Consider the following 16,280-nt stretch of genomic DNA (forward strand, 5'->3'; position numbering starts at 1 on the left):
GAGCTGTATTCTAAAATGCATTACATATATCTGTCTTATTAAACATATAAATTTTCATTGAAGGCATACAGTCATGGTTATAAACGTACATCACGGGGTATATAGACTGATACTCCTATAGACTATTGAGTGTTGCTACATTAGGGATCTAAAAATAGCACTCATTTATTTCCCAGTTTATGAACTGACAAGTAGATACAGTCAAAAAGATGAAGATCAAAATCTACTACTATTATGCTTTAATAATAAAGATAGTGGTCCAGGTGCGGTGGCTCACGCCTGTAATCCCAGCACTTTGGCAGGCCGAGGCAGGCAGATCACGAGCTCAGCAGATCGAGACCATCCTGGCTAACACGGTGAAACCCCATCTCTATTAAAAATACAAAAAATTAGCTGGGCGTGGTGGCGGGTGCCTGTAGTCCCAGCTACTCAGGAGGCTGAGGCAGGAGATTTGCTTGAACCCAGGAGGTGGAGGTTGCAATGAGCTGAGATTGTGCCACTGCACTCCAGCCTGGGCAACAGAGTGAGACTCCATCTCAAAAAAATAAATAAATAAAATAAAAAATAATGATAAAGATAGCTGGTTTGCAGCAAAATGGACTTCCTAATAACTTCACAGCTGAATAAAACACAAACCACTCTGGTCACAGGCAGAACTAAAGGCTCCCAACTTCTATAACTGCTACATGAGGAGGATGGACAGATGCCTTCTCTGAAAGCAGTCAAATTCACATTAGAAGAGTCAAGCCATGTGTGTTGGGTTCCCCCCGCCAACCCCCACTAGGTCATCCAAAAACTTCAGTCTGTGCTCCTATGGGAAACAGGGAATGAGGGTAGAAGCTCTTCTGAACGAGCAGAATTTTGTGCACGATGGTTTTCAGATTGTGTCTGCTGATGCAGCTTTGTGTCCCCTTCGATTTGAAACATCGCCTCTTACTTGGCTTTAGCAGTCTTCTTCACATAGTAAATTCCACTTCAAATATGCTTCTATATGCTATTTTCTACCAGCACTATATAAATGTCATCCTTGAGATCTACAAAACATTTAAACTACCAAAAATGTCAACTGGCACCAATGAAAGAAATAAATCCTACTCATCCCAAAATCAGACCTGTGAACAACTCAGACCTGTGAACAACTCCTCTTCATTCTGTTAAATACTATTTTAAGATTTTTCCCAAATCATTTTTGGGCTCTCGGCACTCCCTGCTCCGTTAACGAATTGTATGGTGCAAGTTTTTCACTTGTTTCCTCCCGGAGACTATGAACAATCGAGCCATCCCTCTGGGGATGCCCTGTCCCTGTCCCTGGAGCCTCTGCAGCAAAGACCCTGTTCACGAGTGCAGAAGCTGCTCCATCCCTTTCCTAGACTGCATGCTACTCAGGAGCAGCTGATCCACACAGCAGTAGACAGCTTCCTTTCTCTTTTTAAAAGAAGCAAACTATGGAAGAGGGTGGAGGAAGCGTAAAATAACAAAATAGTTCAGGTCCAAAATTCCTTATCCTCAATTTCAGTATCTAAAAAGCTTGAAAAAGTGAAAATTTTCAAATAAGTCTGCTGTAAACTATTGGTGGCAAAAGCTGATTCAAATTACATAAGGCTATTGATCAGGTCTGTGTATTCAATTTACTGTGAACCCTCATAGCCTTAACTGCAGAAATACTAATGCGTTTGATTACAGGTACAGCCTGTCCCTGGTGGGAGCACTTCATTAAAAAGTTATATATAATTGTATTAACTTTCTAAAATCAAATTATGAGGGGTTTTTTTTTGCCTGGAAAAACACAAAACTCCAACTAGATCAACTATCAAGGCCAAATGAGGTTTTCTGTGTAAATTTTAATATTCAAAAGCAATAAAATCTAAATGCTGAATTGAAGCTTCGAAGTAGCAAGTACTTTAAATAAAGCTGAAGGCACAGAATTCAGGTAGCTCCAGAACAGAGAGCACTCTTAGCCCTCATCTGCCTAACTCTGAAGACTTGTGCCTCAACTATAAAGATGAAGAACTCCTATCTGTCAGTAATAAAGTGTGAATTAGTCCCAGACATGCAGCTGTCCCTGAGGCAATGGAAATATCAATTCAGCTCTACCTAGAGGAAAAAAATATTTAATGTATCTGTTTCCAAACACATATATACCACATATATCAGCTAATCTGATTCCCTAAAAAGGTGACATAAACTCAACTAAATCAATGAGCACCTAAACCTAGTATATAACAAGCACTTCATATTCTATTAATCCTAAAAATCTATAATTCCAGCATGAAAATATACAGGAAAATATTTTCCTAATATTTCCAATAAATACACACATACACACACATTAAAACTTAATATTAAGATGTTAAGTTTGATTTCCAATGAACTATTTCTCAGGAAACACCCATTACGATGATTTCATATGTACATTTTCCTTTATTAAAAGTATGGCACTTTATATAACAGCAGAAATAATTACATGATTTCACATCCAGAAGCAATAAAATGTGGAGGTGCAAACATTCCTTATTCCCAATAAAAGTAAAAAAAGTTTCAACATGTTCTGTAAGCCCTTAATTGCATAAAGTATATTTAGCATCATTTACAGCCAGTACACTTATATAAACTAATTATCATTACCTTTTACATTCTGCAAAAGAAATATGTTAAAGTAAAGAAGCATGGCGAGACAAACATGAATTAAATGTCAGTTCTGATCATTCATGGGGAAATATAAGCCGATAATTATAAACTACTAGATAACACAATGATTTTAACAATTTTTGATGTTTTTAAAGTTAAAAAAACTCCACTACATGCCATATTGAAAGAAAAGGTTGTTTTTTTTTTAACTGCAGCACCTTTAGACAACAAAAGATTGCATCCTGTTCAACCACACTATATAAATTATAACATTTGTGGAAAATATGTACACACAAACATAAAGCAAGTGTTCTAACAGTTAATAAATGTTGTCTTGGCAAGCAGTTTCCAGAAACAATACTAACAACTGGTAATAAGAACTGCCACCATTTTGAGTTTTCCGTTGCTATCTTCATCAAACAGGAAGCCTGTAAACATAAGATGTTAAAAAAAAATTTAAATAAAGATGTAAAGTGCACTCAGTGCACTCTAAAAAGTACTACCTTCACACTCTTAGTCAAGTAATAGGATTAAAATACTCTACCATTTCTTAAATGCACTGAGTACAACATAAAATTACAACAAATTCATGATCAGAGCCAGCTGATGAGAAAATAACGCATCCAAGAGGATCCACTTAAAAAAATGACAGACTACAAAGACTTAATTCCCCTTATGTTTAAACCAATTATATGTCCAGTGTTTCATTAGCTCCTTCAAAAATACCATGTTAAAAACATAAAATTAACTTCATCCTAACCAGAGACATACATAGACTCTTATCTAACAAACTGCTAAGCTTTGGTTATATAAAGTGCAGTTCAATGATGTATCATCCCAATCATTCAAATCCATCCAGCTATTTTGCAGCTCACCACCATCTTCAAAATAGTTTTCTTTTAGATTCAGTTAAGGTTTTCCGTTGGTATTCATGTTCATAACAACTCCAGAATTCTCCAAGAACAATCTGCAATGTGCTTAACAATTCCTAGCTAATTGGCAATGAAGCTTAATGAAGTACAGCAATTTATTCGTGCTACAACACATTCAAGATCTACCTTTTTTTTCGTTAAATATCTTCACACTTTTTGTTGCATAAAATTTTCAAGTTTTATTATGATACAGGCAGTACATTCCATCACCCTCATAGCAACCTCAGAAGTGAACCTGTCATTTGGGATCTGAGGAAAGGGAAGCAAATCAGGGTATCTTGTTTTTAAACTGTCTACACCATAAGCTTCCAATGTGTGAACATCATTTGTCAGTCCTTCAAGTTGCTGACTATATTCCTCTATTTTCTGAGCAAGTGCAGTTGGTTTTACATCTTTATCAGACTTTCCCCTCACAGCATAGTCAGCTGCAATCAAAGCTAACTTGGTAGAAAGGTAACATTTAAAGCACACCCACTCATTGGCATTTTTATGAAGGTCATTCCTGGCAGCTGAGAAGTTTGCTCTGGCTTGTCTTAGCCATCTGCGTGCTTCCACTGGATTGCCAACCGACTTGAAAGTGGGAGGAACAAAGAACCTTTGAGAGTAAGTCTGTCCGGCTGAAGGGGGGCATTTTTCTTTGTTCTGTTGCTGTCTTTCAGATTTATGGCTCGTTGCTTCTTGATTCCATGAAGTATAGAATCTCTGAAATGAGTATTTGTCTGACTGAAATCGGGATGCTGAGGTTGAAAATGTTCGTCTGGAGGCCCTGTCTGCATTTTGATCTAGAAAAGCCTGTTTTTCTAATCTGTTGATTTCATTCTGCAAATGTTTAAAAACTTCATTGGCAATGTCATGGTTCTCTGGATTTTTGTCAGGATGCCATTTCAAATACAACCGCCTAATAATCTTTTTTCGTTCCGATTCTGGAAGCTTCCATGCTTGCTCCACCACAGATGTCACTTCTTTTAAGATTTCTGGTAAAGAATTAACCTTAAGCTTTTTGGGGGACTGATGTTTGGAAGAAGTCTTGTGGCTCTCTCTACCAGAGAAAAGAGGAGGAATGCTTCTCAGGCCAGGGGTGAGGAACTCAGTGGGGCTGGTTGGTGTAGAAGGAGCACTGTCCCTGCTTTGAGAGCTTTCCTCAGGTCTTGAAAACTTATACAGATCAAGAGAGCTAACTATTTTATATTCACTATAACCAATATCTATCTGATATATCTTTCCTAGAAAACTAGAATTGTCAGCATCTTCTCTTTCAACTTCTTGTACAATAATTGCATATGTGTATGTTGGCTGGTATGATCCATAGATATCACCACCTTCAGCATCAACAAGGTACCCAACATATTCTCCCGGGTAAAAAACATTCATTGGGTCCATAAGCAGAGTGTAATGAATTTCAGCAGGAATTGGTGTGCCAGGCATTGGAAGTTCCAGTTTTGATGGCTCCGAAGAGTCATATTTCACTCCTAAACTGTCAAGTTTCTCACCAATCCTGTAAATATCATTGCATCCTAGCATAGCAATTAAATATGAAGTGTCAGAAATCAAATTGTCAGTTGCTGATTTAAGAGTCATTGCCAATGCTAACAGGAAATTAATGTCTTTACTGTCTGAATGTTGAATGTAGAGCAAGATGACTGCATTACCAAATCGCTTCAAAAAAGCAAAAGTTTCACTTCTGCTGTGGGGAATAGGATTAAAACCTTTAACTCTTAATGTTGTTTGAAGCTTTTCAAAGCAGGATACTTTCAATCCTTCTCTTAGGGCTTTGCAAAGTCTTATGGCTTTTTCTTCATTGGCCAGAAAAGCATTATCATTTTCATGCTTCATAATTCTAATCAGTCCTGTAATGAACTGTTCAGAAGACAAGAGTAACTGCAATCTTCCTTGAAGAGAACACAACGCTCCAAACTGACAAACTTTGGGAGTCTCTTCATCTAATTGTTCTTCAAGTATACTGCTCAATAATCGAGGTCTAAGTTTTTGAGGAAAGAGCATTATCAACTTAGTGTGAAATCCATGGTCTTTCCCTAAGTAGCACTGGCTGAGATCAACTAACATTTGCACACCAATATTCCCCTGGATTCTACTTTTATAATGTGGCGCATCGTCAAACACTAAGATGCTTGACTTTACCAATCTACCATCCTGGCTTGGGAGGTAAAGCGCAAGGTCTCGTACATTCTCGAGATCACTCCTCACCTTGACTGAATCATTCTGTAGACTCCTGAACAGACCAGAAACTACTCTCTTAACTGTACGCATTTCATTAGGATCTAATTGTTTGCCCTCAGAATTTTTAAATATGCGGCTCAACACTTCAACATATTGCTTAGTTGAAATAATATCTTCAGTACCTAAGTGTTTGAACAACTGGTGAAATGTGCCAAGTTCTAAAGGTAGCTTGTACAAATAAGGTTTAAAATCAGATTCATATTCTAGGTTTATGACTACCTCCTCAGGCTTCAGAAGTTTCCAACCATCTTCTACCATCACAAAAGCAACCCCTCGCAACTGAAAACGAAATTCCCTTTTTTCTGCACTGAGGAATTCATATATGCTCCTTAAGACTTTTGCTCTAGTTTTTACCATTTCTTCATCCAACGTCGTTATGTTGCATATGTTTCTGCAGTTATTGATTACCTTATCAAGAGGAGGATCCAGGTTAACATTAAGCATATTTAAAACTTGTTCAAGCTGTTCTTGTGGACCAAGGTCACTACCTTCTTGTTCTTTAATGCTTAAGGGTGTAGCTTTCTCTGGAAGAATAGGGCAGGATGTCCATAACAGCTGGAGTACATCACATTGCTTGAATTTTGGATTTACCTGTGCTCCATTGAACTTTATAAGAGGAAGTGTTCCATTTACCTCTTGATATTGAGGATGAAATCTAATGAATTCCGCGGGGGCCCGCTCAGGACATAAGAATGGTATTAAAGATAGTTCTTTCAGAAAATTTCCAGATAACAAATCCATTCGTTCTTGGAATATATGATGCAGAAGGATATCAACTGTATTTTGCAATGTTTCTTTGGACCAGTTTTCTGTATTAGCCCTCACACTGATTTCCTTAGCAAACTGTAACAACTGCTGCTGAGAAAGTATGTATTTTAGTCCAATATTTCTTAAGAATTCCACCCAGGATGTCATAAATGTAACATGATTTTTGGGTTTTATAAGTTGTTCCAATTTCTTAAAGAAATCATTAGGAATAAACAATTTTTCAGGAAGCATAACTTCAAAAACTCTCACAGTTCTATCATAGAAATGCTTTGCTTGCTTTAGTCTACTGTTAGCATCATGGATTATCAATAAACTTTCCAGTTTTTCAAAAAGTTGTTCCTTAATCTCTGATAATTCCTCAGCACTTGATAATCTATTCTTAAGGTAGATCAAGTGCTCTAATTTTGCATCATAAGAGAGATTTTCAATTTTTGGTAAGAGGTGTTTCAAATATACCTCAAGATCATCTACAGGTACACAACCAATCACCTCATATAGTTCTTTTAAGTGTATTTTTTCTTCAAGAAATGCAGATGATGATGACTGTGTCCATTTCTCCACTTCAGCTGAAGGGATACTTTTTGTAAGTACGTAGCATGTTCCAAATTTTCCAATGCTTACATAGCGGCCACTGATGGATTTATAGCACGGAAGTGACTTTAGAATTTTTATATCATCTTGGGACATCAAATGATTCAAATTGCAGTTGAAATACATCAAAAGTGCCTCAAAATCATTTTCTACTAATTTTTCTGCTCTAAATGTTGAAGTTTGGACCATATAATGTAGAGCCTTCAAGATGCTTGTGGGGCTCTCTATATTTGCTGTGTGACATGACAACAAAGGAACAAATGCACTGTCTTTGGAACAGATTTTGTTCAAAGCAAGCTGAATACAGCCAGCTTTCATTAGAGCATGAAAAACTTTATCACTCTGGGCATTTGGAAAAACTGCAATGTGCATAAGGCTGAGAGGAAGCAGAACATCTCCTTCAGGAACCACAAGCTGGTTGGCTGAAACAGTAAACTTTGTTCCTGGAAGCAATGCCCAGTCTTTTAGAGTATCAACAACAATGTCAAATGTTGGTTTTGTTTCTTCCTGATCTTCTTTCACACTTACAGATTCACTAATAAAATGCCATGCATTCTTAAGCCAAGACTCACTTGCAAAATTGTCTTTCCACTTTGTGCAACTTTTGGTCTTATATTCTCGAGGCAACACAGAGGATAACAAATCAGCAAAGCTGGAAATGTCAAACACTTTTGCAACTTTACAGTTCAATAAAATATTACTATATTTCAAATATAATGTATTCATAAACAAGTCTTTGCGGGATGGAATCAATTCATGATATGTTGTTAGAAACTTGGGTCGTTTTGCATCAAAAGTTTGCAAAACACTGTCCAGTGTGATGAGAAGGGGCAATCCCTCAACTTCAATCTCATTTTCTTCTGCATCTTTAAAACAATAATCAACTAAAAGTTTTAAACTATGAAAAAGTTTTAGATTAGTCTGCTGCAGACGACAAGGCAGCTTCCCAATATGGCAATTAGTGTCAGGAGAGGAAAATGTCATTAAAAAAGATCTGATATCAGCAGGGGTCACATAACTAACAGGAATATCTGCATCTATAAGACAGTGGTAAAGATTAGCAGTTTCATCACAGTTATAAACCAAGTTGAAACCAATTTCTAAAAGGAGATGTTTCAGCCTATAGACATTCTCTGCTACTGTTTTGCGTGTGGTGATATTATAATCTGCATTTTTAAGGTGTTGTAATTCATCCTGTAGTAAATTGTCAAAAAATGGTCTAGTTTTATTAGAAGTAGACATATTGATCCAAGTAATTATAACTGCAGAGTGCAAGTCAGAGCCATCAATATTTGGAGCCCGCACAACAGGTAAAAGACGTTTCATGTCTTCGTGAATGCAATTGTAAAGTGCTTTCACTAGACAATATAAATCTGGCTGTAGATCAAGACGGTTAACTGGGAAAAACGATAAAAACTTCTTTAAAGTGTCCTTTACAACATGAATAGGGGTGTTCTGTAACACTGATAATGTTGGATCAGAACCAGGGAAATACCGTTTTTTTAACTGTATTAGCAATTCAACATATGCAGGAGCTATTAATGCTGTCATTAAACTGTTATTCCAGTCACTTCGAACACCAACTCCATTATCATCACGCCACAGGTTCCTTCTGGCTGAATCCAGTGCAAAGTGGCCATTCACATGAAATGGCAGCCCAGTCTCCAAAGAAAGAGGCAAAAAACAGAAGGCCCTATGGGGTTTTTTATAGTTGTGAGTAATGCAGGCAGCTACTCCACCACGTGGGAAAAGAGTAATATCTTGGTTCTTGTGAGCTGATATGACACTTTTAGATACTTTCTCCATACTTGAAAAGCCTGATCTATTACAAATTAGCCACGTAGTAAGATTTCCTTCAGAGTCCTCAGTATCCATAGTATAGGTTATTTGTTGAACTGGTATGTCTTTGAGCTGCCTCTTTTTAGTAACACTATCAATTACAGATGCATGAAATTGTTTCCTTTTCAATCTGTCTCCATCTGTGATTTTGCCCTTTACTGAATACAGCACATTTAGAGCTCCAGTACTCTTATCTATTTCACAAATAGAAATTTTTTCCATGTGATTAAGAAACATTAGAAGTTCTGCCCCATCTGAGCGCAGTTTGTCCAAAAGATTCTGGACCATTCTGTCTGATGCTGGAACAGACGAAATTTCCGAAACTTTTGCCATTTCTGCATTACGAAGAGGAAATCTGAACATTGTGCAATTATCCAGTTTAAAATGGGTTCCCAGATAAAGATCCAGAACATCTGAGAACTGTGTCCTAAAATCTGCATCCAAATCTCTAAACATGCGTCCGGGACTAATGGATGTGGCCCCTGGTGCATATCTGGCATGAGGATCAAAAATACACAGGATGTCATTGCCAGAAATAAAAGATGGGCAGTCTGTGATATGATACACAGAATTGAATCCTATTCCATACTGTCCAGTTTTATAAGGATTTCCCTCTTTCGTGCCTTTTCCAAGATTCTGAATTCCTCTAACATCATCTTCTGTAAATGGCTGGTTGTTGTACACACAAAGTGCTGGCCCTTGCAATGGGGCCCACTTATCATCAAATATTCTATCAACTGGATGCTGTCTAGGATCAAACACAAAACAGATTTCTGTCGCCTTTGCATCATCAGCATTTTGAAGAAGCTCTTTCAACATTTCCTTTTCAGAAGGATATGCATTAAGGATGCTCTTAATTCTGCTGGTCAATTTTTCTTTCTGCCCAAATTCTGTGCCAAGTGTTGTAAAACAGACATTGGATGCATATCTTTCTAAGGCTTTGTGTCGCTTTGGGACTGCTCCTAGTTTTACTGCTACTTCCCTGGGTATGTCAGCATGACAATATTTTACAGTGGTATCCTTTACTTTTATCCAAGGGCAATCATTGTAGCATAACGATTTAGCAGGGAGAAGCATAAGATTAGTATCTGGCAATAATATCTTGCCATAATTTTTCTCACAAAATTCTTGTTTCTTTTCTCTAATGAGACTCCATATTCCTTCACTGATTATTCGTCGGCAAAGCTGAAAATTCTCTTCTGTTATTTGCTTTGTTCCTCTTTCTTGATCAATAGATTCCAAAACAAGAGCAAAATCTTCAACAGTGCATGACTGCCTCACACCCACGGTTTCAAAAAGTTCGCGGAAATTATTTTTATACTTATTAGGCAACTGATAAAGGTATGGTGCCGCCTCAAAATTTAAATGAAAAGAAACCTTTTCTGAGTCAACATATGCATTCTCAACTAGAATGAAGCTAAAGGGTTTTAACTTATCAATAATTGACATCTTAGTGATTTCATTTTGCATCAAGGCTTCATGAAGGTATTTGTAGCAAGCATTGGTGATATTCTCCTGGTACAGTGTAATTCCATCATCAACTGATTTTGCTACTTCTTTCAATTGGTTTATAACCAGATCAACTGTTGGCTTCTTGAGTAATCCCAAAAACTCTTTAACAGCCAATGACACTGAACCACAACCTCTAAAAGAATGGGAATTTTCATTTAGAATTGGTTGCAAAAGACAAACTATATCTTGATGTTCAGCTGTATAAAGGTCAGTTGCTGCAAACATGGTTTCAGGCTTAAAACTGTTGCCTTTCCAGTCCAAAGAAAAACCTGCTGGTTTTGTCAGAAATGGAAGGAAGCGGATTGTTTGATATTTTGCAGCAAAATCCTTTGCTCTAGGATCCCTTATTTTTAGTTTCTCATCGATAAGACTCAATAAGATACTACTTCTTAGGCATGCAGCAACATGATCACTTTTATTAATTTCAGCTACTGACACTGCACGTTCTAGCATATCATCCCATAAAATATCATCTTTTGCCATACCTAACTGAACTAGTTTAATCAAAATAATAGGATTGAGATAATCCTGAGTAGAACCATAAGGGAATCTCCCATCTTTAATATCAAATAACTTTGCAACTCGTCCTTCGGGGTGGATCAATCTTGATGGCAAAACCAAAGGATGCCCCTCCAAGGAACAAGGAATACATGGAGTAACACGAAGAACTCCCGAGAACTCATCAACTTTTTCATTTAGAACAAAGATCATTAAAGGATCTCTAAGTTCTGCTTCAATTTCTTGAATATTTGGAAAAAACACTTCAGAAAAAAACTGTTTCTCTGAAAATGTGTTTTCAAGTAGTATCTGTTTGCAGCCAGCTTCTTCAAATCCTAATTTTACCGAAGAAGGAAGTTCAACAGCACAAAGGTTTTTGGACCCAGTCTTCTTGAGGTATTTCAAAAATATCTTGAAGGCTGCTGAACCAACATCTCTTCTTTTAAGTATAGAGTCATCTAGAAATCTTACGTTCTTCATGGAAACCCAAGTAGATCCATCAGAGAAGACTTTGGTCAGTTCTTTCCCTTTTCCATGAGCTATATCTTCATAAAATCCTTGGCAAATTACAGAAAAATCATCATGAACTAAATCAGGATCGGGCCATACTGCATAGTAAGTATAATCCATTAGCTCCCCACTAGTGGCCAGGTCCCGTAAGACACTCAGTACCTGTAAGTAAGCTTTCACAATAACATGTCTCATGAACGTGGTATTCCATCGTCCTTTTGTATCTGTTTTCCAGATTTCTTTCCTATTTGATGTAACAGCAAAGCACCCATTGATATGAACTGGCAAGCCTGTTTTTATTCGTAAAGGTAAATAGCAAAACACCTCTCCAATGTGTGGTTTCACTGTCCACTTCTGGTCCTGGATTTCTGACAGCTGAACTCCTACTGCCCCACATGGAACCAGTCCTAGTCTTCTTCCACTCTCACTCAGGGAAAACTTCAGAGCCTCTCCTGTGTCCATGCAAGTACACAGAAGCCACGTGGTACACTCTACTGTTTTCTGTGACAACTCATCTGATGGCTTTTTTGATTGGCCAGACTTAGCCATTTCAAAGAGAGCAGCTGGGTCATCATCTGGACCTCTAAAAAGTGGCGACTGTAAATCAGCAATCCTTCTGAACACATGGTGAAATTCTTCCACTGTGATCTGAAGAATGCAAGATGACTTTGGTTCATCACTGGGAAGCTTTTTATTACTGCTGCTGCAAGTCTTCATGAGCTTAGCAGCCTCTTTTAAAACACTTAAGACAGGTGTGTTCAATGCTTTGGAAGAGCAGGATTTTTTTTTAATTATTACTGTATCTTGTGCTAAACTGGGGTTGGTTTCCTCAATTTTCAAGTACTTCAAATACATTGACTTTACACTCTGAGTGAAAATGATAAGCCTGTGTCCACAGAGACTAAATTCATCCACAAGAGAATAAATATCTGCTGTATTGTAGCACGTACTACTAACTTCACTCACTTTTGCTTCCTGTTGAGTTCTAAAGGACAGTCGGAAAAGGGTTCCATTATAGCTGTAAGGTGCTTCTACAGTCAAAGGTAACTGACAGCCAAATACATCTATAAATGGTTTGAACTGATTAGGAAATTTTCTAAGTCTTTTCTGTTGTTTACTCCAATTAATTTTGATCCCAGGATTGGATTTGTCTTTAATGTGTTTACTGATATGATTTATGTTTGGATCGAACATTATCATGAATTCCCGACTCATAATGATGGGAATGTCAGTGATATGGTACACAGAATTAAATCCAAGACCAAATTTTCCAACTTTGTCAACTTCTCCCCTTTTTAAAGATTCTCCTAACCTAGTTATGTTCACAAAATCTGAATCTGAGAATTGAGAATTGTTGAATGACCACAAAGCAGGTCCATGACAAGCTGCCATCCCTGGGTCTAGGAGATTCTCTCTTATGTCCATATTTCTTCTCATATCAATCAAGAAACTGCATTCTGTTGCATTTGCATCATCAGCGTTTTGAAGTAGTTCTTTAAAAATATCTGACACTGAAGGGTATTCTTCCAGAATATTTTTAATTCTTACAGTAAGTGGCTCTCTTTGTCCTGACTGCTCAAATCCCATGTTTTCAGGATTTATCAGTCTTGTACTAAGGCATGGAACTTTTAGCCATTCTGCAGTTTTCATGGGTATGTCCTCATGCACCAAAATGATTGGTTCCACAGAATCTTCAAGTAAGTCATTAAGGTCATCAACTTTAATGTCACAATAACAGCATTCGTGAATTGGCTTCATGATAAGTTTAGAAGGATTTTTGCTATGATGTATAGGAACTGGTGTGTTGGGGCTTGCTGGAATCTGATTGCTATACAGCCATCTGATAATATTCAACATAAGATGAAGATTTTGTTTGCTTTCTTGTTCACTGAGATCTTGGTCACTTTTGAGATATATCTTCTGAATAACCATGGAAATATGATCTGATGTCAACTCCTCTATTGAACCACAGACCTTAAATAGTTGGTGGAATTTTGCCATGGTTTTAGGTACATTATGCAAATAAGGCTGAAGGTCAAGATCATGGATTGGTTTAATCACAGCCTGGGCAAGTGGACAAAACTTTTTGCCAGTCCAAACCCATGGAAATTTTAAGGCTCTAAAAGAATCTTTCCCTTCATTTAGATGATCATGCATGAATCCGTAAATCTCAAGCAAAATATGCTGGAATTGATAGTAGTCTTCATCACTAAAGGTTTTTGAAGAATACCAATCAACAACAATTTTAAAGTGTTTTAAGACAGCACTAAGGCTAGGTTTTGTGAAGATCCCTAATGCTTTTTCCAGGTTTACATGGATACTTTCAACAAGAGGAAGTGAGGAGCCAATGAGAATTGCATGGCCTACATCACACATATCTGGTGGTGCACAGAGATTACAGAGATCTCCTTTCCAGACCAAAGAGCCTGGATAATTTGGAGGCCTTTCCTTGCAGGCTGGAACCCATTTTATTTTCTTCAATGTCATCTTTCCTTCAGATGATTGCAACAGTGTGTGATTCTTATTTAAAACCAGTAAGAGGGTTTTGGCTTTCTTCAGAAGAACATCTTGATCAGGACAAGCACCGACCTGTAAGGCTTCAATTTTTTTTGCCACTTGCACAACATCCTTTTCTTTGAGACTGGCTTCGTTTTTTAAACCAATCTGTCTTAAGGAGTGAAGAATATCTGGTGAGGTAAAAACTGAGGGTGGGAAATAGGTTCCTTCTTCATTACAAAAGAGATCCTTTAGTACTTCTATATCAGGGTCAAAGAGTTCACCAGCTGATACCATCTGTTCCTGTGATATCTGGATGAATTTTAATGGTGTTAACCACTCAAGCACATTTGGATTCTCATTTTTAAGAGAAGATAGATTCTCAAGGACCCATAACATAAGCTGTGTTACCTCTTCATGTGAATAAAATGCATTTTCAATATCTTTTAAAACAAGCTTTAAGCAGCTAGTGGTCTTTAACTGTTCTATTTTCAACATGTTTGCCAGACGAATAGTAGCTTCATCACTACTGTCTATTACTGAAATAGAAAGTCGCAGATCTGCTGGGAGTTTGGCAGTATGGTGTAAGACTTTACAACCTTTCAATTTTGTATAAGAGGAAATTCCCTGATCAGAAGAATGGTTAATGCGCTTGAATATTGCCAATTCTTGAATAATTCTTTTCTCTTTCTCACTGCTATCGGTTAAACTAGCCAAGAACTTCCTCAGGGCATCTTTGTGTGTTGGAAGTAGCGAAGTTATTTGATTACACAATTTCTGCAATGGCATCTTCTCCATTATCTGCAAAACAGCACTTGGTAATGGTGAATGAATATATTTTTTAATAAGCGGATGTTGTATAGATGCATCTAATTTTTTAAGGACAAACCCTCCAAGTTTTTGTACAATGTCTGCTAAAAATTCTGGAAGCTGTGCTTCAGATTCATCGTCTAAAATGACTAACGATGGAATCCTGAGTCTAATGAGTTCCACACATGTCTGACCTTCCTCTAGTATAGTTCTGGGGATAAGTGGCATCTCATCAAATAAAGTCAAATCCTCTGAAAAATGTATATAAAGATTTTTCCAAACCATCTTAAGCCATGAAACAGATGGGTGATTTCTGTTTTCATCAAATGGATACCATTGAACAATCAATTCTCTGCCAGGCCAGAATGTATTCATTACTTCCTTGATAAGACGTGCAAATCGTTCTGGATTTAGAAGCTGCAGCTGAGTACATGGTCTTCCTGTAAATCATACACAGAAATGTCATAAATACATATAATTCTACTACAACAGCTTTCTATTCTCACAAATAACACAGTACTGGAAGGTTCTTTTTTTTTTTTTTTTTTTTTTTTTTGACGGAGTCTTGCTCTGTCGCCCAGGCTGGAGTGCAGTAGCACAATCTCAGCTCACTGCAAGCTCCGCCTCCCGGGTTCACGCCATTCTCCTGCCTCAGCCTCCCGAGTAGCTGGGACTACAAGGGCCCGCCACCACACCCAGTTAATTTTTTTGTGTTTTTAGTAGAGACGGGGTTTCACCATGTTAGCCAGGATGGTCTCAATCTCCTGACCTCGTGACCCACCCGCCTTGGCCTCCCAAAGTGCTGGGATTACAGGCATGAGCCACCACGCCCGGCCAGTACTGGAAAATTTTCTAAGAGTTGGAAGTACATGTAAAAATTCAGCAAAACTGGGCTAAAATAATTTTTAAATAATAGTGATAGAAAATCTATATATAAATCCATATTTACAATAACCTGTGACAAAAATAATTCTGCCTGGAAAATGCTTATTTGAAATAAATATACAAAATGCATTTAAATATGTTTTTTAAAGTATCCTATAATGTTCTGCAAATGAAATCAACATGGAAAACAATGTTTAGCGCTTATTTGCCCACAAATAAAAACACCAAGGAAAAATGCAGATAAAATTTATATAAGAATCTTTTTATTTAAAGGTAAAAATTGATACACAACCCCAATAAAGGCTGAGTATCCCTTATCTGAATGCTTGTGACCAGAAGTGTTTTGCATTTCGGACTCTTTTGGACTTTGGAATATTTACATTGTACTTACCAGTTGAGCATTCCAAATCCAAAAAATCTGAAATCCAAAATGCTCCAATGAGCATTTCTTTTGAGTGTCATGTAGATACTTGTTTCAGATTTTGGAACATTTGGGGTTTCAGATTTTTGGGTTAGGGACACCCAACCTGTATGAAGGATGTTTTGTGTTAACTTCAAGTTTCCAGGAGCCAC

General features: G+C 37.4%; 1 protein-coding gene across 16 annotated transcripts in view; it reads right to left on the minus strand.

The window, feature by feature from the left end:
- SACS (sacsin molecular chaperone) overlaps window positions 2,402-16,280 on the minus strand; it is a 104,873-nt gene continuing 90,994 nt past the window's right edge. For all 16 annotated transcript variants that reach the window (XM_047430261.1, XM_047430257.1, NM_014363.6 and 13 more), the window contains one exon: window positions 2,402-15,262. In XM_047430261.1, the coding sequence (XP_047286217.1) occupies window positions 3,708-15,262 (11,555 nt within the window). In that variant the 3' untranslated portion in view covers window positions 2,402-3,707. The remainder of the gene's footprint in view (window positions 15,263-16,280) is intronic.

This window comes from Homo sapiens, chromosome 13 (assembly GCF_000001405.40).
Source record: "Homo sapiens chromosome 13, GRCh38.p14 Primary Assembly".
Lineage (NCBI taxonomy): Eukaryota > Metazoa > Chordata > Mammalia > Primates > Hominidae > Homo > Homo sapiens.